Genomic DNA, 25,431 nt, shown 5'->3' with positions numbered 1-25,431 from the left:
TCTGGGGTGAGCACATAACCTAGAATTAAGTCGACTAGAATGGGGCCCAGTTGGTGCCAACAGGACACTCGTGGGCTTCCTCTAGGCTGTTCTGTCCCCTTAGACTTGAAAGGAGAAGCACGAAGTCCTGGGAGCTGCCAGCTGCCTCTGAGGACCCTCGGGGAGTTAACCTCAGAGTCCTCACCTGTGAGCGACAGAGCAGAGGAGAAAAGGAAGAGATCAACCAGGTCCTGGTCACAAACCTGGACCCCAGATCAAAAGCAGCCTAAAATAAGTTTCACCCTGACCTGTTGAGTAACATGCACCAATAGATTCCCTTTAAGTTTGACGGCAGTTTGAGTTGCATTCTCTGTGCGTTACAGCTTGGAGCCTTGACCGGCTGGTGGGTCTTCTCAGCTCTTCCATTCTTCCACGAACCACTCCTGTGACAACACTTGGGAAGTGGCTTGCCTTCTCTGAGACTAGGTGCCCCACTCTGCCCCACTCCAATGCAGGGTGACAGCACACCCCACTCTGCTGGCTGCTCGCAGGAGTGAAATCCAAAGGCAAGAGAGCAGAAGGTAGTTTTTCTCCAATTAGAACAAATCCTCATGAGGTGTTGAGCTTAATTCTTCTAATAGTATTACTCAAATACGTGCAAACTATAAATTAGGTATAACCTCCTTATGCTGATAGATCTCATATATCTATAAAAACCAAGAGAAACTTAAAGATTCAATAGAAAGCCATAAAACCTATAAATGCTCAATTAAAAGCAGGAATTTAATGTAACAGATAATGCTGTGCCAGAACTAAAACATCCTCTCACAATGTGACTCTCGTGCCCGCTGGTCCCGTTCACATCCCTGGAGTTCCGTGAGTGTGTACTCTTGCGTGTCTCATGGTGAGACCCAGTCCTCATCCTTCTCAACCACAGCAGCTTTTCCCAGTTTAGCTCCCAGAATCCTGTGTTTGTCCGGCATTCCTTGGCGTCATTTTAGGTTTCTTGCTAAATGCATTCTTTTCATGGACAGTCCTCTACTCTTTGCTTGTGATTTACTCAGAAATCAACACAATTCTAGCCACGTTACAAGGATGTCGCATGGCAATATTTGGTTACAGGGAAAGGTTCCACAATATGCTGACAATGATTTTTAGAAGAGTATTGTCAGAATAAAAGAACAAGATTTTAAAATTATTGTTGAGACATAGAGGAGTTCCAAGACACGTCCTTGAATCCCAGTTTGGAAAACACGGGGAAAGTGGTGAAGAAGATACAGCTTGGCCGGGCACGGTTGCTCACGCCTGTAATCCCAGCACTTTGGGAGGCCGAGGCTAGCGGATCACAAGGTCAGGAGATTGAGACCATCCTGGCTAACATGGCTCTTTACCTGGTCAAGCCCCAGAATAGTCCCCATCAGCCCTGACCCTGTCTCTACTAAAAATACAAAAAATTAGCCAGGCGTGGTGGTGCGTGCCGGTAATCCCAGCTACCAGGGAGGCTGAGGCAGGAGAATCACTTGAACCCAGGAGGAGGAGATTGCAGTGAGCTGAGATCACGCCACTGCACTTCAGCCTGGGTGACTCCGTCTCAAAAAAAGAACAAAAAAGAAGAAGATGGAGCTTGAGAGGCCAGAGTTTGAGCCCAACCACTTAAAGCTCTTGAGCTCTGGGCAAGTTATTTACCTTCCTGAGCCTCAGTTTTCCTTTTCTTTTCTTTTCTTTTTTTTTTTTTTTTTTGGAGACAGGGTCTTGATCTGTCACCCAGGCTGGTGGCTCACTGCAACCTCCACCTCCTGGGTTCAAGCGATTCTCCTACCTCAGTCTCCCAAGTAACTGGGATTACAGGCACCCGGCACCATATCCAGCTAATTTTTATATTTTTAGTAGAGATGGGGTTTCGCCATGTTGGCCAGGCTGGTCTTGAACTCCTGACCTCAAGCGATCCACCCACTTCGTCCTCCCAAAGTGCTGGGATTACAGGCGTGACCCACCACGCCCGGCCCTAAGCCTTAGTTTTTCTGTCTGTAAATTGGGAATGATAAAAGTATCACCTCATAAGGTTGATAAGCCACAGTAAATGAGTTAATAAACTGGAACACATAGTGGGTTGAAGAGTGTTCCCCCCAAAATCCATTCCACTCAAAACGTGTGAATGTGACTTTTTTTGGCAATAAGGTCTTAACAGGTATAATCCACTTAAGATGAGGTCATACTGGATTAGGGCATGCTAAAGACTGGTGTCTTTATAAGAAGTGGGAAACTTTGACATAGATACAGAAACACACACACACAGGGAGAATACCATGTGATGAGACAGGAAGGATTGGATGGAGCTTCCGCAATCCATGGAATGCCAGGGACTGCTGGCAACCACGAGAAGCTAGGAATAGGCGCGGAATACAGTCTGCCTCAGGGCCTCCAAGAACAAACCAACCCTGCTGACACCTCAGTTTTGCACTTCTGGCCTTCAGAATGTGAACTAATACATGTCTGTTGGTTTAAGGCACCCAGTTTGTAGCACTTTGGTGCAGCAGTCCTAGGAAACTAGTAGAGGTAAGCCCATTTAACACAGTGCCTGACGTGTACAGCAAGCACTTAATAAGTGATAGCTTTTTATTAGTAGACAAGAGCCTCAAGCATTTTAAGAAGTACATGATGATAGTACATGATGATATACAAATGAAAGTTTTTATTAGCCTCTTTTTCCTTTAATTTCAGCCCATGAGTCTAACCCATCGTCAACCTCATCCAATATCATGTAGCATTTTATGGTTTACAAAGCTTCTCCCTGTGGATTATTTCAGTTACTTCTCACAGAAACCCTCTGAGATAGATTAAAAAACAAACAATTCTTGCACATGGGCCAAGGAATCTCTTAGAGCTAATTGGCTGAATGCAATGTGGTATATCAGATTGGATCCTGGAAGAAAAAAAGATTATTAGTAGGAAAACTGGCAAAATCCAATTAAAGTCTGTGACTTGGTTCATAGTAATGGACTAAGGATAATTTCTTAATTCTGACTAACGGAACGCGTTTCTGTGAGATGTTGACAATAGGGGAAACTGGGTGAGCAGTGTACGGAAACTCTCTGCACCATGTTTGCAACTTTTCTTTTCCTTGCAAAGTATCCAAAATTAAAAGTTGATCTTTTAAAAAGCTAATTGGAAATACTTTCCAGCTGATTTGAATACGTTGCTGGAGTATCACTGAGAAACCCTGGCAGATAAAAATATCTGATATATAGGGAGTTGTGTCTACCCTCGCCTTTGCTTCCATATTTTTTCTTTAAAAAAGTTATAGTTAATTTTTCCACTATGATAAAAGCTCAATATAGGACATTTGGAAGACATATAATATTGAAAGGACAGAAAAATATATCACCTATGGTCCTGCCACTTCAAAACCCCCCTCCATGAGTATTTTGGTATATCTCCCCTCCATTTCTTAAAGTTTGGTTTTATGTATACACACGGTAGGTATACAGTATGCGGTCATCCTGTGTCCTGGTTACGTAGTTATCACATTCTAGTTATCTAGAAATTCACATTCATGCTGGGGGAGGGCAACTTTAAACTCCCAGCCATGAGTCTTAGTGGGTACCCAGCACTTCCCTGCCCATGACCTCTCCTCCCTACTGAAATCACCTTCCTGCCCCTGTCCCCACACCCACATGCAGGCCCGCGTGAGCTCTCCCGTCTCACCTGTACCCATACCTCAGTGGGAGAACAGAAGTGATCTGAGAAACACTCTCGTCTCCCATGACCAATGTCCCCAGCCCAGCGGCTCCCACCCCACGCCCTCTGTGTCCTTGTGTGGCCTGCGGAGGGAGCACCTTTCTCCCAGGGGAGCATCATCACCCCACTGCTCTCTGGATTCTGTCCTCTCTTGCTTTCTCAGGAAATTGTTCCTCCCCCTGCCTCTTGAATCACCCACGTCTCCCCCTTCACTCCCAACAGCAGAAAAAGGCCACCCTAGATCTTCACTTGGGGGACGAAGGCCTCCCTAGAGCCCACGGCCCTCTTTAGGTATCACCCCTTTTCTCCGCTCCCGTCACCCATAGGACTCTTTGATGGAACTGACTCCAGCCACTGCCTCTGTTTCCTAGCCTGCTCCAGCCAGGCTCCTGATTTGCCGTCAGGAGATACCAGTCCCTCGTCCCCATGTTGAGAAGGCCAGTACTCCTGTCCTCGTACCTCCCTCATCTCCTGGCTGCCCAGCACCCAGCTCACTGCTGCATCCTCCTTCATTTTCATCTAAGTCTCAGCCCCCTCTGTACCTCCCCTTCTATCAGACCTCAGAATCTGGTCCCTGCTCTCCTTCCCGCCCCCCTCAATCCTGTCCCGCTGACCCCTGGACAGGAGCCACACCGCCCCCTGTCTCCTCCTGGAGTGAGTCCCCTTTGTCCCCACCCCAGGACATCTGCTCCAGCTCCTCCCTCTGCCTGGAGTGCTCCTCCCTCTGCCTGGAGTGCTCCTCCCACTGGCATTCCCACAGGTGTTCCCATCTGGCAAATCCGACCTTGGCGTAAAGGTCACTCCACGGAAGCTGTCTCCATGGCAGGGGCTGCTCTCCACCATCGCCTCTGCAGAGCTTTTGCACCACCAGTCATTTCTTCTGCTGACTCATTTGCTTGCTTATAGCCGGTCTACCCCAATTCCCACTCTCCCACTGATGGCTGCATCCCATCCGAGCTTGGAGGGCATCTGCCATGGGCACAACTCCATCTCCTGGGCCTGTGAGAATGCCTGGTATGTGGTAGGTGCTCAAGAAATATTTGTTGAATAAATGAATGAATGGTGCATATACGATTTTATACTCTGTTCTTTTTTTTCTTGCTAAATGTGATGCTGAACCACTTCCACTCTTTCAAATATCTTTTCCAAGGGCTGGATTGTAGTCTATGCTAAGGTCTGGATGTGGGTATCCCCTAAAATTCTTATGTTGAACTCCTAACCCCCAAAGTGATGGAATTAGGCGATGGGGACTTTGGGAGGTGATCAGGTCATGAGGGTGAAGCCCTTATGATTGAGATTAGTGCCCTTATAAATGGGACTCCTGAGAGCTCTCTTGCCCCCATTCTACCATGTAAGGACACAGCAAGAAGCCAGCATTCTGCAACCCAGAAGAAGACCCTCACCAGTACCTGGCCGTGTTGACATCCTGACCTCAGACTTCCAGCCTCCAGAATTACAAGAAATAAATTTCTGTTGTTTGTCAGCCATCCAATATATGGTATTTTGTTATAGCTGTCCAAACAGACTAAGATGGTCTATGTAGTTGAGACGCTAAAATCTATTTAACCCTTTTCCTATTGTGGACATTTAACTTAATTAAGACTTTTTCCTCTGAAAGATAACCTAGCAGTGAACATCTCTACATACAACACTTTTTATCCATTCAGATTGTGTCCTTAGGAGTGAGCTCGTGAAATAAATATACTAGTCAAAAGGACTTTTTGTTCTTTAGGGAAAAACCACTTTGTCCACTTTGTCTGTAATTGTTCGTTATTAAATGATGCTGGTGTATATACAGTGATAGAGAGTCCTTTGTCCCACCTGGTGCTGTGGGCAGCAAGAAGGGACAGGAAGAGTGGCATCTGCCGTCAGAGGCAGCAAAGGCTACTCTGTAGGAAAAACAGTGCAGAGACGCATGGCAGAACAGAACCACTGCCTAATGTGACTATTGTACGTGCTGAAGGGTCTGTTGGCTTGGAAGTGGCTTCTAGAGGCTGGGTAGCCTTCCAGGGAGGTCATCATGTCTCCTCTGGTTTTCCTGGAAGCATAAGCTTCCACTTTTTTATAGCATGCTATAGTTTATAAATCAATTCCTTCGTATTATCTTGGGTAGTTCTCAGACGTGACCCTGGCCCCCATGAGATTTTTGGGGGATGGGACATTCATGTTCTCACTTGCAGACTAAAGCTGGGAGCAATGTGCCCAGGATCACACAGCCAGACCCCAAATCCAGAAGCTCTGACTCCGAACCCAGTGCCATGGCCCTGTGCCAGTCCCACCCTGCACAGTCGGTGCTCAGCTGCATTTCTGTGTTTGTTACCATGTCACACAAAAATAGCAGGCTGGCTGAGCTCCAGAGTCGGAGGGTGTGTTAGAGGTAGGCTGATGTAGAATACTGGCAATGGAGCTCACACAAGTTCATATCAAGCGCACCTCAAAGACATAGGCCAGCATCCTCCAGGAAGCTGAAGCTGGGACCTGACCAGAGACCACCCTCTGGAGAGATGAACCTTGAGTACACCAAGGATGCCATGGACAGAGATGACAAACAGGGCTGAAGTCAAGTCAGAAGTCTTGAGGACACTTCCAGTGGCAGCATTCACGTGAGCCCAGGTGCTTCCCTCTCAGGCCACTCTGTGCTTCTGCCTGATGAGGTGGGGCCGTAGGCTGTGTTTCAGTGAAAAGCTGTGCATTCATGAAACAGTAAAGCTGGAAGGAGCTCAGAGGTCATCTCGTCCTACCCATTTCCATGCATAGAACTGCAGCCCCCAGTCTTTTTGGCAACAGGGACCAGTTTCATGGAATTCAATTTTTCCACAGCAAGGGGTGCCGGGATATGATGGTTTTGGTTTTCAGGTGAATCTGTTCCACCTCAGATCATCAGGAGTTAGATTCTCATAAGGAGCTTGCAACCTAGATCCCTCCCATGTGCAGTTCGTGGTAGGGTTCACACTCTTATGAGAATCTAATGCCTGATGAGCTGACGGGAGATGGAGCTCAGGCGGTAATGCTCGCTCACCCACTGCTCACCTCCTGCTGTGCAGCTCAGTTCCTAACAGGCCGCGGACCAGTACTGGTCCACGGCCCGGTGGTCTGGGACTCCTGGTATAGAAAATGAAACCATGTTCAGAGAAGTGAATTTCCCAAGACCACACAGCAAGTTAGTAAGGAAGCCCCGGCAATATTTTCCTCCACTGTAGCATACAGCCTCTCATCTATGCAGGATTATTAGAGAAATGCAGCTTTATTATTTTCAAGCACTTAGAGTTACATTGAAAAAAAATCTCCTGTCCAAAGCTCTTAAAGAAAGGACTTTAATGAATAGACATGTTTTATAGACAAACAAGACTTTTCTTCCAAGGGCACTTGAAAGTAATTTACATGTCTTCTCTGCTATCTTCCTTTTCCTCTGAATTTTCTTAGCACACTCTCTCCAGGAATGGACCACGGTGAGCTTCCACCTGGTCACTGTTGAGAATATCACAAATCCCAAATCCCAAATGATGGGATCTCGTGACTGAGGATCTGCTGCACAACAAGCTACTGGATTTCACTGCTCAGTGGCATGATGACAAATAACTATGCAGGAAAACGTGCAGCATTTCCCAAGCAATCAGGAACTTGACCAGGGCAGAAATGGGGAGACAGGACTGATTGGCAGAAGGGGGGTAAGGTTTTACTTTTTCCACCTGTGCAGATCAAAGGGCAGCTGATTGTTTTTACCCCACCCAAATGTTCCATCAACAGCATGGGGTGAAGAGGGGAGTGGGCAGCAGCAACACACAGTCTACAGGGGAATGTTCCAGAAGTTGGTGATGGTGTGCACATGTGCTGTATGTACATGTGTGTACATGCATATGTGTGCATATGTGCATGTGTGCAAAAAGGTGTGTGTACATGCATGTGTGCATATGTACATGTGTGTGCATGTGTGTGTACATGTCCATACACTTGTGTGTGTGCATGTGTGTACAAAGATGTGTGTGTGCACACGTGTGTATGGGGGTGTGTTGGGAGAGCATCAAAGCCTCTTCCTTCTTCCCTGTAGCCCTATGGCTCTCCTGCTGTCCTTTTAGACCTGTGCACGCATTTTGATCATACTGTCAGGATGGAGGCTACATAGTACTTTGTTAATAATTCTTGTAAAAGTTCTTTTTAAGACACTTGCACTGATGTTGCAAGAATTTATTCCTCTCAGCAATTAGATGCCATGATTAGACGATCTTTTATGTTACATTAGAGCAATCCTTAAACAGCAAATCAGATCCCTAGCTCATCAACCTTCTTGCGATAAGGAAGTCTTAAGGAAGACAACCATTTTTAACTTAAAAGAAAAGAAAAAAAGGCAGGTCAGCCCAGGAAAGCCTGAAGGAGACCAGCAGTGGGTTTTAAATCTCCCTTCTCCACTTCCGAACATGCTTGCTTGTTTCTAAGGATGGAGAGTTATTTTGAGCCAAAATTATTAAAATCATAAAGAGACAAAAAGTGAAACTAGCAGAGTCTTTGGCATGGTGGGTCGGGTTTGGAAATTTTTTTTTGTCTTCTTTCCATTCATTCGATCCAAAATGACAGCCTTGAAAATTCCTCTGTGAAGGTCACCACGTGCTAAAACATGACAACGCCCATAATGCAAAATTACAGATAGGGGTGTGTGCGTGCGTGTGTGTGCGTGTGTGTGTGTGTGTGTGTGTGGTCTTCTTTAAAAAAAAAAACTGGTAATGAAGTTGTAAATGTAGAATTTCTTTCATTACCTATTCATTAAAGATATGACATGAAAACAGAGTTGCCATGGTAATGGCTTTGTGGATTCTGAGTACATAATAAGAATTTCGTTGTTTACACTACAGCACAGATAACTGACGGGTGTTATTGTAGCCAGTGAAGTCTTATTTAGCTTCCTGAATGCTGTGAGGGCAGAAGGGCCGTGCAGCCGTCCTCACCACGCCTGTGTGCGGGCAGAGGCTTCATAATCGCCAAGGCACACACTTTCGATAGGAAGTGCATGCTGAGCTGTGCCTTCTCAACACTCTTAAACTTAAATATTGAACGTTCTAGACAAAAAAAAAAAGCCTATCCTGAAGGCTCTGAAATATTTCCACTTAATGTTTAACATGAGTCCATTTGACTTAAAGAAGAGATTTTCTCTGCTAATATTTGGACTACGCAACGAGACTGCCTTGGTTCAGATCTTGACTCTTAAACTTGTTAGCTGTATGACCTCGGCCAAGTTACTGAACCTCTCCCTAATTCTTGGCTTTCTTACCTGTGAAATGGGGGCAGTAGACATAAGCAATGCAGACACAATATACAAACACCACTTGTTGTGAGGATACACACTCGGTGCCTGCCTGGCCCCTATAAAGTGCCCCCTGCCCTTGATGTGGTGGGATTGTCTCACAGAGCATCTTCCAGCTTCCTTTTGACTTTAATGAGTTATGAGCTTATCCCTCTCTTTGTAAGGCCACGTTCCCCCATCATGGTCCAGTGCCTGGCACAGAGTAGGTACCCCACAAAAGAACAGTTTCATTTACGAAAAAATAAATTATTAAAACCCACTACGTGACCTCAATTCAGGAAATGAAGGTTTTTAAAAATTATTATTATTCTTTAGTTTTCTTTGGGGATGAGAGTAGCATAGGAAGGCCAAGATAATTTTTTAAGTCAATGCTTAAGAATGTAGGGAATGCCTGACCCTAGGTTGAAAATGAGAGTGCTTAAGGACTGAGATGCAATGCAGTTTTTTAAACATCCTGCTGCCAACTATACCTGGCCACCTTATGCTAGGGTGAAGAGCATAAGGCACCTAGGATACAAAATTTAATGTAGGCTGGGCGTGGTGGCTCATGCCTGTAATCCCAGTACTGTAGGAGACCGAGTTGGGTGGATCACTTGAGCTCAGAAGTTGGAGACCAGCCTGGCCAACATGGCAAAACCCCGTCTCTACTAAAAATACAAAAATTAGCTGGGCGTGGTGGTGGGTACCTGTAATCCCAGCTACTCAGGAGGCTGAGGCGGTAGAATTGCTTGAACCTGGGATGCGGAGGTTGCAGTGAGCTGAGGTGGCACCACTGCACTCCAGCCTGGGTGACAGAGCAAGACTCTGTCTCAAAAAAAAAAAAAGATTAATGTGACACTCACTCTTAGGGCCATTTACTGGCTATTATTATCCTTTACACACCTCACACCTCTCACCCTTGTCCCGTTCTGTGTCCTGGAATGGCTGGTGGGGTTGGATTCTATGTTCATCAGCTCCAGGCTATGAGGCAAAGCTTTCTTGGACCCATCATATGAGGTCCTTTTTCTTTTCTTTTTTTTTTTTTTGAGACGGATTCTCTCTCTGTCACCCAGGCTGGATGGAGTGCAGTGGCTCACTGCAAGCTCCGCCTCCTGGGTTCACGCCATTCTCCTGCCTCAGCCTCCCAAGTAGCTGGAACTACAGGTGCCCGCCACCACGCCCAGCTAATTTTTTTGTATTTTTAGTAGAGATGGGGTTTCACCGTGTTAGCCAGGATGGTCTTGATCTCCTGACCTCGTGATCCACCCGCCTCGGCCTCCCAAAGTGTTGGGATTACAGGCATGAGCCACCACACCTGGCATGAGGTCCTTTTTCTATACTTCTGAGGGAAAAATAAAACAGGACAAGAATGCTTCCTAACACAGCAGACGGAGATATAACCGGTGACACTGGCTGCTACACTTTGCAAACAGAGTGATACCAGGTGGGTCTTATTTATAAGACAGACATTAATCCAGTTCTGCATGACAGTAGCACAATTTACTCAAAACATGCCAGGAAGTCTTCTAGCCCATTAAAATAAGTGTTCCACAGTCTTCATCTGTACTGCAAATCCTGATTGCTGGCGTCTAGATGAGAGAAAGAGATTCAACCATGAAGACATGCTTGACATAGACTATGATTATATAACAAGAATTTTAATTGCCAGAAGTATTCCTGGAGTAATTATACAAGTGAGGGGGAAAGGGTATAGGGAAAGAGAGAGAGAAACAGACACAAGTCATCTTCCCCTGCCTGTTGTTTTACACAGTAGAGGGGCTGTACTCACCACCTTCCTGAGATGCCCAACTAAACCAGGAAATGCCTCGACCCCTCATCATGCAGGAAGGCAAGCTGGAACCGGAAAGCCGGCTCCAAAATTTATATGAAAATGCAAGGGACCTAGAATACCCAAAGCAACTTTGAAAAAGAAGAACAGAGTTGGAGGGTCTACACTGTCTGATTACAAGACTTATTAAAAAGCCACAGTAATCAAGACAGTGTGATATTGCCATGAAGACAGACACAGAGATCAATGAACAGAATAGAGTCCAGAAATCAACCCACACATAGATGGTCAATTTTGTTTTCACCCAGAGTGCCAAGCCAACTTAGTGGGAAAGAGACAGTCTTTTCAGTAAAAGGTGTTGGAATAAATGAATTTCCATATGCAAAAAAAAAAAAAACCTCAACCTTTACCTCACAGCATATACAAGAATTAACATGAAATGGATCTTTTGCCTAAATGTAAGAGGTAAAAAATTATAAAACTCCCACAGAAAACATAGGTGCAAATCCTGATGACATATGTATAGCAAAGATGTCTTCAATACAACAAAAATAAATTTTAAAAAGCACAAGCTATAAAATAAAAAAATTAGTACATTGACTTCATTAAAATTTAAAATTTTTTGGCCAGCTGGGGTGGCTCACACCTATAATCCTCGCACTTTGAGAAGCCGATGTGGTGGATGATTTGAGGCCAGAAATTCAAGACCAACCTGGCCAACGTAGCAAGACCCCCATCTCGTTTATTTAATAAGATAAAATAATAGTAAAATAAAATTAAAATAAAACATTTTTCTTCTTCAAAAGACACTGTTTTGAAAATAAAAAGGCAAGTCACAGACTGGAAGAAAATATTTGTAAAAATTTATCTGACAAAGAACTTGTTCCTAGAATATAGAGAGAACTTTTACAACTGAGTAATAAGAGGAAACACAACCCAATTTAAAAATGGGAAAAATATTTAAACAGACACTTTACCAAAGAAGATATACTATGACAAGAAGCACAGAAAAAGTGCTTAACATTACTCAGTTAGGGAAAGACAGAGGAAAACCACAATGTGATGTCACTATGCATCATCAGAATGGCTAAAGTGAAACAGACTGACCATACCAAAAGCTGGTGAGGATTTGGAGGCACTGGAATGAATCCTCACATGCTGTTAGTTGGTATGTAAGATGATACAACTACTTTTGAAAACATTTTGTCCGTTTTTTTTTTCTTTTTCTTTTTTTTTTTTTTGAGACGGAGTCTCACTCTGTCTCCCAGACTGGAGAGCAGTGACACGATCTTGGCTCACTGCAACCTCCGCCCCTCAGGTTCAAGTGATTCTCCTGCCTCAGCCTCCTGAGTAGCTGGGTTTACAGGTGCCTGCCACCGAACCCAGCTAATTTTTGTACTTTTAGTAAAGACAGGGTTTCACCATCTTAGCCAGGCTGGTCTTGAACTCCTGACCTCGTGATCCACCCACCTTGGCCTCCCAACGTGCTAGGATTACAGGCGTGAGCCACCGCACCCTGCCTGTCAGTTCCTTAAAAAGTGAAACATAGATCTACCATATGACCCAGCCATTACGTTTGTAGTATTTATTCATAAGAAATGAAAGCCTATGGTCATAAAAAGACTGTACACGAATGTTTATAGCAGCTTTGCTTATAATAATCAAAAGCTAGACAAAAATACAAATATCCATCAACAGGAGGATGTATAAACAAATTGTGGTATATCTGTGTGATGGAATCAGCACTACAATGGAATGATCTACTGATACAGCAACATAGATGAATCTCAAAATAACTATTTTGAGTGAAAGCAGCAAGACAAAAAGTACATAATGCGTACATCTGTTTATACAAAATTCCATGAAATGTGTATTCATCTATCGTGACAGAAAGCAGATCTGTCTGGGGATGAGGAGGGCAGTGAGGGTTGCGAAGAAGTGTTTATGTTCGTTGTGTTGACTGTGGTGATGGTTTCATCCCCTCCTTGGTGGTGGAAGACCAGCAGCTTGTGCCCCGGCCCAGCTGACAACCAGTTGTGTTTACGACACCATCAGGAAGCTATTGGTGTGATGATGGCTCTGAAATTCCTGCCCCAGGGCAGGACCATCAGCCTTTCCCCCTCTGCTCTAGTCTCCATCCAAAACTCCTCCCTGAGTCTGATCCTTCGGTATCTGGGTGCTGGTGGCTCTCTGCATATGCCCTGTCTATGCATAGTGGTCATAGCAACAAGGAAAACTCAAGTGTGACTGAGATTTGGTACTTTCTATTTAATATAATGATTCAAAAACATTAAGTAACAATAAAGAATCATTGACTGTTATCTTACAGATCAAGGAGAACTCCCATATCTCTTACCTCATGTAATTACCAATCATTAAATGGCCTGTACAAGACTATATCATTAGGAAATGGCAGAGCAAGGGTTCAGCGCCAAGTCTGCACTGTCAGTCTTGTATCAGTGTTTTCCAAACCTTCGTGAATTTTGTGCACCACCTATCCAATTAATTAATTAATCTTTTTCTTTCAATTGATTACCCTTCATAAAACAATACATCGATTTTCAAGTTTCGTGTCACTCTGTAAATGGAAAATAAGTATTCCTTGACCAAAATAAGAAAAAAAAACTATAAAAACAAATACAGTGGGCACAAGACAATGTTATTAACAGCTAGCTTGATGCTGTCCTTTGCAGAAGGTTCTGAGCCAGAGGATGGCATTAGATGGGTGTCAAAGGCTAACGCCCAACTGGGACTTTGGCCCTGGCTGCAGTCAGAATTATTTGAAGGGGATTGAAGAGGGAGTAACTTTCCCCACTGTGTGAGTCCATCAGTAGCTAGGGCTCATCTCTATGCAACCTAAAGTCATCTTATTAGCTTCACACATTACACTCAGCTACTTCTCCAGTTGTCACAGAACCCCACGAGCAGGGGAAGACCACCTGTCATTAATATTCCCATCTTACTTGCTCTATGCACAGGTTAGGCAGTACAGCCAGTTGAAAGTTGGCTTTGCCTTGTGCAGTCTCACATCTGAGCCGTGTCTATAACTAGTCCTGAGTCATGGCCTCAGCTGACATCTGTACGAGAGAAGAACAAGACAGAGTACCATGTGTGGCTTCCCTGAGGGTGGCACACATTTCATGTGCAATGTGCTGAGGCCACGTGCCAGCAGTGAGCAGGGTCTTGCACTGTACCCCTCTTGAACCCACCTGGGTCCTCCAGACCGTGCCTTTCTGTGGATTCATGCAAATAACACAGGCCTATTCAAGCCTGGACATTTGTTATCTTCCAGATTCTTCTTGAAGAAATTGCCCCCAAATACATAAAGTAAAAATTCCATGAAGCTCAAAAAGAGCAAATAGCTACATTGTCTTCAAGTGCTAGTTGTTTTATTAATTTTCCCCAAATGCTCTGAGTATCTCACTGACAGATTTTGAGAGAAGAATTTGCCTCATTTTCTTGTTGGTCATCCCACCTCAGTGTCCAAAATGCCCAGCATTGTGTGAAGGGTAAGGCCAGGGCAAGTCCCTAACAGACAAAATGGGGTGTCACCTCAGAGCCTCCCCAGTGTGTCCCGATTGTCTTAGTTTCTCTCACAACCCCGCCCCCCAACTCACACACTCAGCTCAGTGGCCCAGGTTGTGTGGCTTCCTGCTGTGTGGACACCTGGAAGAAAGCAAAGCACACAGGGGCAGTTCCTGGTCATTCTCTGGCCAGCCTGAAAGGGCTGTCTTGGACGTGGCTTCTGTCTCAGGTAGTGAGTGGGGTGATTTCTTTGCCAGAAAGCCCTTCAGCACAAAGCCTGAGTGGCCAGCTCCTGCCTTGCTGTGAATAAACTTCACCACTGAGGCTCCGAACAGCAGCCACAGAGGAAACCGTTTCCAGGCATTTTCAAGGTCGGAAAGGAAAGTGAGGAACATAAATATGGAGCAGGCATTGCTGGAGTAGAGCAGACACTGGCATCAAACAACTGGAAGCAGAGATTAGCTACACACTGCTGGGCACCAGCCACAGGCATCCCCTGTTACGGGTTTTTCTCTGCAGAGCTCTCTGGAGCTGGCTGGTGTCCTCACAGTTTTTGGGTGGGGCCAGGAGCAAGATGTGATTTCTCAAAAAATCTGTTTTTTGTTAGACGTTATCTGGCCCCAAGTCTCAGGGTTCAAATCACCCAGAGGCAGGATTTTAGATTCCTAGACCTTGAACAAAGTCTCAGAGAAGGAAAGCCACTCCCCAAAGCTGGGTCCAGCAAACTACCTCTGCCCACAGTGGACAGGATCAGTTCCTTTCATGATTACTTCCCCTGGCAAAGGCTGCTTCTCCCCTCTGGTCAACTCTGGTTCCTCTGGGACCATCAGTAAAGAATTGGCTCCCAGGTCTTCAAACCCTTCTGTAGGGCAAAGTCACTGCCTTAGACAAGTGAGGTTTGGAAAGGCCAGGAGTCCTGATACTTCTTATTCTATTTTAATGAGATTATATTCCAGCTCACTAAGTTAATAGCTCTGTGTGGATGAAAGGGTGCTGGGGAGGGTAGCAGGGAGTCCAGCCTTCTGGGTCCTAGACACACCCATCTCTGTGGCCATGGCCAAGTCATTTGTCTTCTCAGAGTCTTGGTTTACTCATTTATGAAAAACAAGAATAAAATTACTCCTTTGAAGAGGCAGAGAAAGATGGCTGAATAGAACCTTCCAGCAATTGTCCCATCTAGCAGGAACACCAAATTGAACAACTATTTACACAAGAAAATACCTTCATAAGAACGAAAAATCAGATGAGGAATCACAGTACCTGGGTTTAACATCACATTAAGGAAAGTGGCACTGAAGAGGGAAGAAAAGACCGTCTTGAACTGCCAGCACCACCCCTCTCCCATCCCTCTGCAGCAGCAGTGGCCGCATGGCATGGAGAGAGAATCTATGTGCTTGGTGAAGGGAAAGCACAGTGATTGTGGTACTTTGTATTGGAACTTAGTGCTGCCCTGTAACAGCAGAAAGCAACACAGAGAAGAAATCAGCTGTAGTCTTGGAGGGAGCATTAAGACCAGCCCTAGCCAGAAGAGAATCACATCTCCAAGTGGTCAGGAACCTGAGTTCCGGCTAGCCCCACCACTGTGGGCTAAAGTGTTATGGGGTTCTAAATAAATTTGAAAGGCAGTCTAAGCCACAAGGATTACAATTTCTGGACAAGTCCTGGTGCTGTGCTGGGCTGGAGCCAGTGGACTTGGGGTGTACACAACCTAGTGAGACATGAACTGGGGTGGACAGGGGAGTCCTTGCATCATCACTTCCCCAACCTCAGGCAGTGCAGCTCACAGCTTTGGGAGAGACTCCTACCTTCCATTTCAGGAAAGGAGAGGGGAGAGTAAGGAGGAGTTTATCTTACAAATTGAATATCAGTTTAGCCACAGTAGAATAGGGCACCAGGCAGAGTCCTGAGGTCCCCATTCCAGGTCCTAGCTCCCAAATGACATTTCTAGACACACCCTGGGCCAGAAGGGAACTTGCTTCCTTGAAGGGAAGGACTCAGTCCTGGCAGGAATTATCATCTGCCAACTAAAAAGCCCTTGGGCCTTGAATAAACATCAGTGGTTGCTAGGCAGTACTGAACAGGCATTGGGCCATGCTGACTTCAGGTGTGATTCAGCACATCCCAAGCTGCGGTGCCACAGGGAGAGATTCCTCCTGCTTACGGAAAAAAGAGGGAAGAGTGGGAAGTATACTCTCTTGCAGCTTGGGTGCCAGCTCAGCCACAGTAGAATAGAGCATCAAGTAGATTCCTAAGGTCCTCAATTCCAGGCCATAGCTTCTGGATGGCATCTCTGGATCTGCCCAGGGTAGGAGGAACTTGCCACAATGAAGTAAAGGACACAAGCCTGGCAGGATTCACTACCTGCTGACTGTAAAGCCCTTGGGCCTCGAGTGAACATATGCAATAGCCAGGCAGTAGTCACCCAAGGCCTTGGGCAAGACCCAGTGCTGTGCTGGTTTCAGGTCTGACCTGGTGCCTTCCCAGCAGTGTTAGCCACAGGGATGCTTGTGTCACTCCTTCCCCAGCTCCAGGAAGCTCAGCACAGAGAGAGAGACTTCATTTCCCTCTCTATGCTGAGAAAAATAAGGGGAAGTAAGGGAAGAGAACAAGAGTCTCTTCCCAGTAATCCAGGGAATTCTCCCAGATCTTAACCAAGACCACCAAAGTGGTACCTCTATAAGTCTGCAAGAGCCACACCATTACTGGGTTTGGGAAAGCCTTCCCAAGAAAGATGGGTACAAACAAACCCAGACTGTGAAGACGATAATAAACACTTAACTCCTCAATGCCCAGATACTGATGAACATCCACAAACATCAAGACCATCCAGGAAAACATGACCACACCAAACGAACTAAATAAGAGACCAATCCTAAGAGACAGAGATATATGACCTTTCAGACAGTGAATTCAAAATAGCTGTTTTGAGGGAGCTCAATGAAATTCAAGATAAGGCAGAGAAGAAATTGAGCATTCCATCAGATAAGTTTAACAAAGAGATTGAAATAATTAAAAAGAATCAAGCAGAAATTCTGGAGCTGAAAAATGCAATTGACATACCGAAGAATATATCAAAGTCTCTTAATAGTTGAATTTATCAAGCAGAAGAAAGAATTAGTGAGCTTGAAGACAAGCTATTAAAAAATACACAGTCAGAGGAGATAAAAGAAAAAAGAATAAAAAAGAATGAAGCACACCTGCAAGATCTAGAAAATAGCCTCATAAGGGAAAATCTAAGAGTTATTGGCCTTAAAGAGGAGGCAGAGAGAGAGAAAAAGATCAGGGTAGAAAATTTATCCAAAGAGATAATAACACAGAACTTCCAAAACCTACAGAAACATATCAATACTCAAGTACGAGAAGGTTATAGAACACCAAGCAGATTTAACCTAAATAAGACTACATCAAGCATTTACTAATCAAACTCCCAAAGGTCAAGTATAAAGAAAGGGTCCTAAAAGCAGCAAGAGAAAAGAAACAAATAACATACAAAGGATCTCCATATGTCTGGCAGTAGACTTCTCAGTGGAAACCTTACTGGCCAAGAAAGAGTGACACAACATATTTAAAGCACTAAAGGAGAAACAAAAATTTTTATTCTAGAATAGTATATCCAGCAAACATATCCTTCAAAAAGAAAGAGAAGACTTTCCCAGATAAATGAAAGCTAAGGGATTTCATCAACATCAGAACTGTCCTATATGATATTCTAAAGGGAGTTCTTCATTCTGAAAGAAAAGGATGTCAACAAGCAATAAGAAATCATCTGAAGGTACAAAACTCACTGGTAAAAGTAAGTATACAGAAAAACACAGAATATTATAACATTGTAATTATGGTGTGTAAAATACTCATATCTTGAGTAGAAAAACTAAAAGATGAAACTATAAAAAATGATAACTCAACAACTCCTGAAGACATCATATAGTAAGATATAACCAGAAACAACAAAAAGTTAAAAAGCAAGGAGGTGAAGTTAAATCCCAGAGTTGTATTAGTTTTCTCTTTGATCGTTTGTTTGTTTGTATTTGTAATCAGTATTGTCATCAGTTTAAAATAATAGGTTATCGTGACAAGAGTGATGGCTCATACCTGTAACCCCAGCACTTTGGGAGGCTAAGGCAGGTGGATTGCTTGAGGCCAGAAGTTGGAGACCAGCATGGCCAACATAATGAAACCCCATCTGTACTAAAAATACAAAAATTAACTAGTTGTGGTGGCACACACCTGTAGTCCCAGCTACTCAGGAGGCTGAGGCATAAGAATCACTTGAACCCAGGAGGCAGAGGTTGCAGTGAGTCAAGATGGTGCCACTTCACCATCTCACCTGGGCAACAGGGCATCATGTCACCATGATGTTGCATCATGTCACCATGATGTTGCATCATGTCACCATGATGTTGCATCATGTCACCATGATGTTGCATCATGTCACCTGGGTGACAGAGCAAGACCCTGCCTCAAATAATAATAACAATAAATGAAATAAAATAAAATAATAGGTTTTCAAATGTTATATGCAAGCCTCATGGTAACTGCAAATCAAAAAGCCTGCAGCAGATGCACAAAAATAAAAAGCAAGCAATTAAAACATGCCACCAGATAAAAAAAAAATCACCTTCAAGAAAAGTAAGACAGGAAGGAAGGGAGGGAAGACTACAAAACAACCAGAATACAAATAACAAAATGGCAGCATTGAGTCCTTCCTTATCAATAATTATAATGAATGTAAATGGACTAAACTCTTCAATCAAAAGACATAGAGTAGCTGAATGAATTTATACAAACAAAACCCAACAATCTGTTGCCTACAAGAAACACATTTCACCTATAAAGAAACACATTTCACCTATAAAGACACACATGGACTGGAAAAAAGGAGATGGTAAAAGATATTCCATGCCAGTGGAAACCAAAAAAAGCAGGATTAACTATATATCAGACAAAAAAGTTTCAAGACAAAAACTATAAGAAGAGACAAATAAGGTCATTATACAATGATAAAGGATTCAATTAAGCAAGAGGATATAAAAATTGTAAATACATATGCATCTGACACTGCCACACCCAGATACATAAAGTGAATATTATTAGTACCCCACTTTCATCATTGGACAGGTCAGCCAGACAGAAAATCAACAAAGAAACATCAGACTTAACCTGTGCTATAGACCAAATGGACCTAATAGATATGAACAGACTATGTCAGCCAATGGCTACAAAATATACATTCTTCTCTTTAGCACATGGATTATTATGAAGGACAGACCATATGTTAGGCCACAAAACAAGTCTTTAAAAATTCAGAAAAATTAAAATCATATCAAGTAACTTCCCTGACCACAATGGAATAAAACTTTAAGTCAATAACAAGAGGAACTGAAACTACACAGAAACATGAAAATTAAACAACATGCTCTGGAATAACCAGTGGATCAATGAAGCAATTAAGAACAAAATTTAAAATTTTCTTGAAACAAATGATAATGAAAACACAAAATACCAAAATCTGTGGGATACAGTGAAAGCAATATTAACAGGGAAGTTTTTACCTATAAGTGCCTACACTAAAAAAAAAAAAAAGAAAGAAAGAAAAACTTCAAAGAAGCAACCTAATGATGCAGTCTAAAGAAATAGAAAAACAAGAACAAACCAAACTCAAAATAAGTAGAAGAAAACAAAAATAAAGATCAGAGAAGAAATAAATTAACCTGAAACAAAAAAATACAAACGACCAATGAAATGAAAATTGGTTTTTGAAAAGATAAAGTCAACCAACCTTTAGCCAGGCTAAGGAAAAAAGAAAGAGAACCCAAATAAATAAAATCAGAGATAAAAAAGGAGACATTATAACTAATATTGCAGAAATTCAAAAAGGATCATTAGAGATTACTATGAGCAACTATATGCCAATAAATTGGAAACCCTAGAAGAAATGGAAATTCCTAGAAGTATACAACCTACCAAGGTTGAACCATGAAGAAATCTAAACCCTGAAAAGACCAATAACAAGTAATGAGATAGACATAATAAAATGCCTCCCAGAAAAGAAAAGCCCAGAACCTGAAGGCTTCGCTGCTGAATTTTACCAAACATTTAAAGGAGAACTAATACCAATCTTACTCTAACTGTTCCAAAAAAAATAGAGGAGAGAATACTTCCAAACTCATTCTACGAGGCCAGTATTACCCTGATACCAAAACCAACAAACGTGTGAATATATATACCTCATGAATAGTGATGCAAAAATCCTCAACAACAAACTGAATTAAACAATACATTAAAAAGATCATTCATCATGATCGAGTGAGTTTTATCCAAGGGATGAAAGGATGGTTCAACATACACAAATTAATCAATGTGACATATCATATCAACAGAACGAAAGACAAAAACCATATGATCATTTTGGTTGATCCTAAAAAAGCATTTGATAAAATTCAACATCACTTCATGATAAAATCCCTCAACAAACTGGGTATAGAAGAAACACGCTGAAACACAGTAAGAGCCACATAGGACAGACCCACTCCTAGTATCATACTGAATGGGGAAAAACTGAAAGCCTTTTCTCTAAGATCTGGAATAAGAAAAGGATCTCCACTTTCACCATTGTAATTCAACATAGTCCTCGAGGTCCTAGCTAGAACAATCAGACAAGAGAAAGAAATAAAGGGCATCCAAATTGGAAAGGAAGAAGTCAAATTACTTTTGTTTGCAGATAATATAATCTTATATTTGGAAAAACCTAAAGACTCCACCAAAAAAAAAAAACACTACTAGAACTAATAAACAAATTCAGTAAAGTTGCAGGATACAAAATCAACATACAAAAACCAGTAGCATTTCTATATGCCAACAGTGAACAATCTGAAAAAGAAATCAAGAAAGTAATCCCATTTACAATAGCTACAAATATAATAAAATACCTGGGAATTAACCAAAGAAGTGGAAGATCTCTAGAATGAAAACTATAAAACATTGATGCAAGAAATTGAAGGGGATACAAAAAAATGAAAGAACCAATATTGCTAAAATGTCTATACTAGTAAAAGCAATCTACAGATTCAATGCAATCTCTATCAAAATACCAATGGCATTCTTCACAGATACAGAAAAAAATAATCCTAAAATTTATATGAAACCACAAAAGACCCAGAATAGCCAGAGCCACTCTGAGCAAAAAGAACAAAACTGGAGGAATCACACTACCTGACTTCAAACTATATCACAGAGTTACAGTGACCAAAACAGCATGGTGCTGGCAAAAGGCAGTCACATAGACCAATGGAACAGAATAAAGAACCCAGAAATAAATCCATACATCCACAGTGAACTCATTTTCAATGAAGTTTCCAAGAACATACACCAAGGAAATGACAGTCTCTTAAATAAATGGTGCTGGGGAAACTGGATATTCATATGCAGAAGAATGAAACTAGACCCCTGTCTCTCACCAAATATAAAAATCAAATCAAAATGGATTAAAGACTTAAATCTAAGACCTCAAACTATGAAACTACTACAAGAAAACATTTGAGAAACTCTCCAAGACATTGGTCTGGGCAAAAACTTATTGAGTAATACCCCAAAAGCACAGACAACCAAAGCAGAATGGACAAATGGTATCACATCAAATTAAAAAGCTTCTTCACAGCAAAGGAAACAATCAACAAAGTGAGAAGACCACCCACAGAATAGGAGAAAAGATGTGCAAACTAGCTGACAAGGGATTAATAATCAGAATATATAAGGAGCCCAAACAACTTAATAGGAAAAAATGCAATAATAGAATTCAAAAATAGGCAAAAGAGCTGAATAGACATTTCTCAAAAGAGGACACACAAATGGCAAATAGATGTGTGGAGAGGTGCTGAACATCATTGATCATTGGTGAAATTAAAATAAAAACTGTAATGAGATATCATCGTACTCCAGTTAAAATAGTTTCTATTCAAAAGACAAGCAATAACGAATGCTGGTGAGAATGTGGAGAAAAGGGAACTCTTGTTCAATGTTCACAGGAATGTAAATTAGTATAACCACTATGGAGAACAGAATGGAAGTTCCTCAGAAAATGAAACATAGAGCTACCATATGATCCAACAATCTCTCTGCTAGGTATATGTCCAAAAGAAAGGAAATCAGCATATTAAAGTGATATCTGCACTCCTATGTTTTTTGCAGCACTCTCCCTAATAGCCAAGATTTGGAAGCAACCTAAGTGTCCATCAACAAATGGATAAAGAGAAGGTGCTACATATACACAATGGAGTACTATTCAGCCATAAAAAAGAATGAGATTCTGTCATTTGCAACAGCATGGATGGAACTGGAGGACATTACATTAAGTGAAATAAGCCAGGCACAGAAAGACAAACTTCACATATTCTCACTTATTTGTGGGAGCTAAAAATTAAAACAATTACGCTCAAGGAAATGACAGAAGAATGATGGGTACCAGAGGTTGGGAAGGGAAAGCAGGGGAGTGGGGGATGGATAATGGGTACAAAAATATAGTTAGATAGAATAAATAAGATCTAGTATTTGATAGCACAACAGCGTGATTACAGTCAACCAAAATTTATTGTACATTTTAAAATAGCTAAAAGAGTATAATTGAAATGTTTGTAACACAAAGAAATAAATGCTTGAGGTGATGGATACCTCATTTACCCTGATGTGATTAGTATGCATTGTATGCCTGTATCAAGAGATCTCATGTACCCCATAAATATATACACCTACTATATACTCCCCAAAATTAAATTTTTTTTTAAATTATTGCTTCTTCACTGGTTATTGTAGGCTCCAGTATTATTACAGCTAATTCTAAAGTATAACGTGCTATAGTGATGAGAGGTTGATAGCTCGTCCAGTTACATGAGTACCATGTAACAGCTCAGGGTGGTTAGAGGAAGGGAGAGAGCTGCTGGCCACTGGGATCTCCTGCCAGGTTAGTATGTGAGGCCAGCCGTGCTGGTGCCTTCAAGGAAAATGGGACACTAAAGTGCACACGACTTCATAAAATCCTCAGCAAATCCACAGTCCTTAGTTAAGCAAAATTTGTCCGCTTTCAGTTTTTCAAACAAAACACCATGGTGTCAATTGCTTGATTTAAAAGGATCAAAACAGGCTGGGTATGGTGACCCACTCCTGTAATCCCAGCACTTTGGGAAGCCAAGGTTGGTGGATCCCCTGAGGTCAGGAGTTTGAGACCACCCTGGCCAACATGGTGAAACCCCATCTCTCCTAAAAATAAATAAATAAAAACTAGCTGGGCATAGTGGCATGTGCCTGTAATCCCAGCTACTCAGGAGGCTGGGGCAGGAGAATTGCTTGAATCCAGGAGGTAGAGGTTGCAGTGAGCCGAGATCATGCCACTGCTCTCTAGTCTGGGTGACAGAGTGCGACTCTATCTCAAAAAAATAAAATAAAATAAAAGTAAATAAATAAAATAAAAGGATCAAAACAAAAACAAATCCCATCCTCTGCTACCCAGCCGACAACTCCTCTCTTATATCTAGGAGCCCCGTGCTGATCAGCAGCCTTTGATGCCCCAAGATGACCTGAGTGTCCCCAGGAGCCCCTGTGGTTCTCAACCTACTACTCTGCAATCCCTGAAATTATTGTACATTTTTAAGGGCATGCGCATATGCACGTTTTCATTAGGAAGGGAAGAGGGTTCCTAGCTTGCGTCTGATTTTCCAAGGGAACAATGACCCAAACAAAGTTAAGAGCCATCATTGCTCACTTTACTCTGCTTTCTAAGGGGAAGGGTGTGAAATAGCTATTTAGCCTGGAGAGGCGGGGTTCTGAAGGCTCAGGGACTCCTCTCCCCAGGTTAAAGGGTCATCCTGTGAAAAGCTGATCTCTGTCATTAAAAAGAATGTGGTCAGCATTGAGGAATGGATGTTATGGAGAGGGGGATTCCCTTCAAAACAAGGAAGGAACACCGTTTAAACAGTAAGAGTTGTACAACCTGCCTTGTAAGAGATAGGAGTGCTGGCCACATGGAAGGTTCCGGTTCAGTGGAATTTGGATAAGTACTTGCCAGGGATGTTCTAAAAAAATCCCTGCCTCAGGAGAACACTGAACTATAGAACTTCAGTGCCCATCCAATAAAACCTGAAGACTATGAAATCAACAGATAAAAAAAAAAAAGTGTTGAAAGTTTGTTTAAATTCCAACTGTTATATCCAACATTTATTAATGAAAGGCAAATAGATACGATCATTCCTCCAAATACAGATGATTTACTTATCTGTTTAAAATTTTTACAATTTTTTCTTTCCAATTTAATTTTTGAGGAGATTTCTTTCAATCTAACTTAACCTCTTTGGTAACTCTTCCCCTACACATTCACCAATGCAAATGATGGAAAAGAGTATCATTTTCCTAAATATAACTAAGTTTTGGGCACTGTATATTCTCACAGCCTTACCATTTTAGAGTTTAGAAGACAGGCTCAATTACTGGAGGTATACAGCATATAAAGGAACTTAAGTTCACATTATCTACTTGGTGTTGATAGGTTGCATTTTTACCTGTCAATTAGTCTCCTATAGCCCATTGATAACCATGTTAAATCTGACTTCATGAATAATTTGATCACTCCTGTTTTCCCTGAGAACCATAAATTGTAGTTATTTGGTATTATGTAAAATCATTTTCATGCAAGGTGAGCTTTAAAAATTCATGCCACACATTTCACACATGTTATTTCATAATGCTTAAATTTTTGAGAGGCAGGTATTACACTGGACAAATGAGAAAGTTATTTCAAGACCAAATTTTCAGTTCTGACCTCTAATTTGTATTCATAACTAATAGCAAGAGGTGAAATTCTACACAGTAGAATTAAAGTGTGGTTTGCTCCTAAACTAAAAACATATCAAAATCGATCTCCTTTCCACATTTCTTAGTCTAACCCATTCGAAGAGATTAGGGTTGTAGGCTATATTGATTGCTGGGATTTTCCCCTTGAACAGTTTAAATAATGCCTCTTTGTCTTTTATTTTTGCCGTACATTCTTTTAGTAAAATAACCAGGAAGTAAGCAGTCCTCAGGCAGGCTTCATGTGAAAGTCTTCTTTGGAGAAGGGAGCTTTGGCTGGGAGCTCCAG

The 25,431-nt window shown here is 42.3% G+C and overlaps 3 annotated features.

Annotated features, from left to right (window-relative positions):
• Window positions 4,308-4,557: a silencer, noted in NCBI's record as "fragment chr10:127107802-127108051 (GRCh37/hg19 assembly coordinates)". NCBI's record gives its function as "represses an EF-1alpha promoter that drives an FKBP-Casp9 reporter gene in an ReSE screen in HepG2 liver carcinoma cells {active_cell/tissue: HepG2}" and the evidence as "EXISTENCE:reporter gene assay evidence [ECO:0000049][PMID:32094911]".
• Window positions 11,783-11,983: a silencer, noted in NCBI's record as "peak1126 fragment used in MPRA reporter construct". NCBI's record gives its function as "represses an SCP1 promoter by STARR-seq MPRAs in K562 erythroleukemia cells {active_cell/tissue: K562}" and the evidence as "EXISTENCE:reporter gene assay evidence [ECO:0000049][PMID:32103011]".
• Window positions 18,114-19,313: an enhancer, noted in NCBI's record as "BRD4-independent group 4 enhancer chr10:127093046-127094245 (GRCh37/hg19 assembly coordinates)". NCBI's record gives its function as "activates an origin of replication core promoter dependent on BRD2, P300/CBP, MED14 and CDK7 cofactors, and independent of BRD4, by STARR-seq in HCT116 cells {active_cell/tissue: HCT116}" and the evidence as "EXISTENCE:reporter gene assay evidence [ECO:0000049][PMID:35650434]".

Source organism: Homo sapiens, chromosome 10, assembly GCF_000001405.40.
Source record: "Homo sapiens chromosome 10, GRCh38.p14 Primary Assembly".
Lineage (NCBI taxonomy): Eukaryota > Metazoa > Chordata > Mammalia > Primates > Hominidae > Homo > Homo sapiens.
Note: the sequence above shows the minus strand (reverse complement) of the source record. Positions and strands in the feature narration are given on the sequence as shown.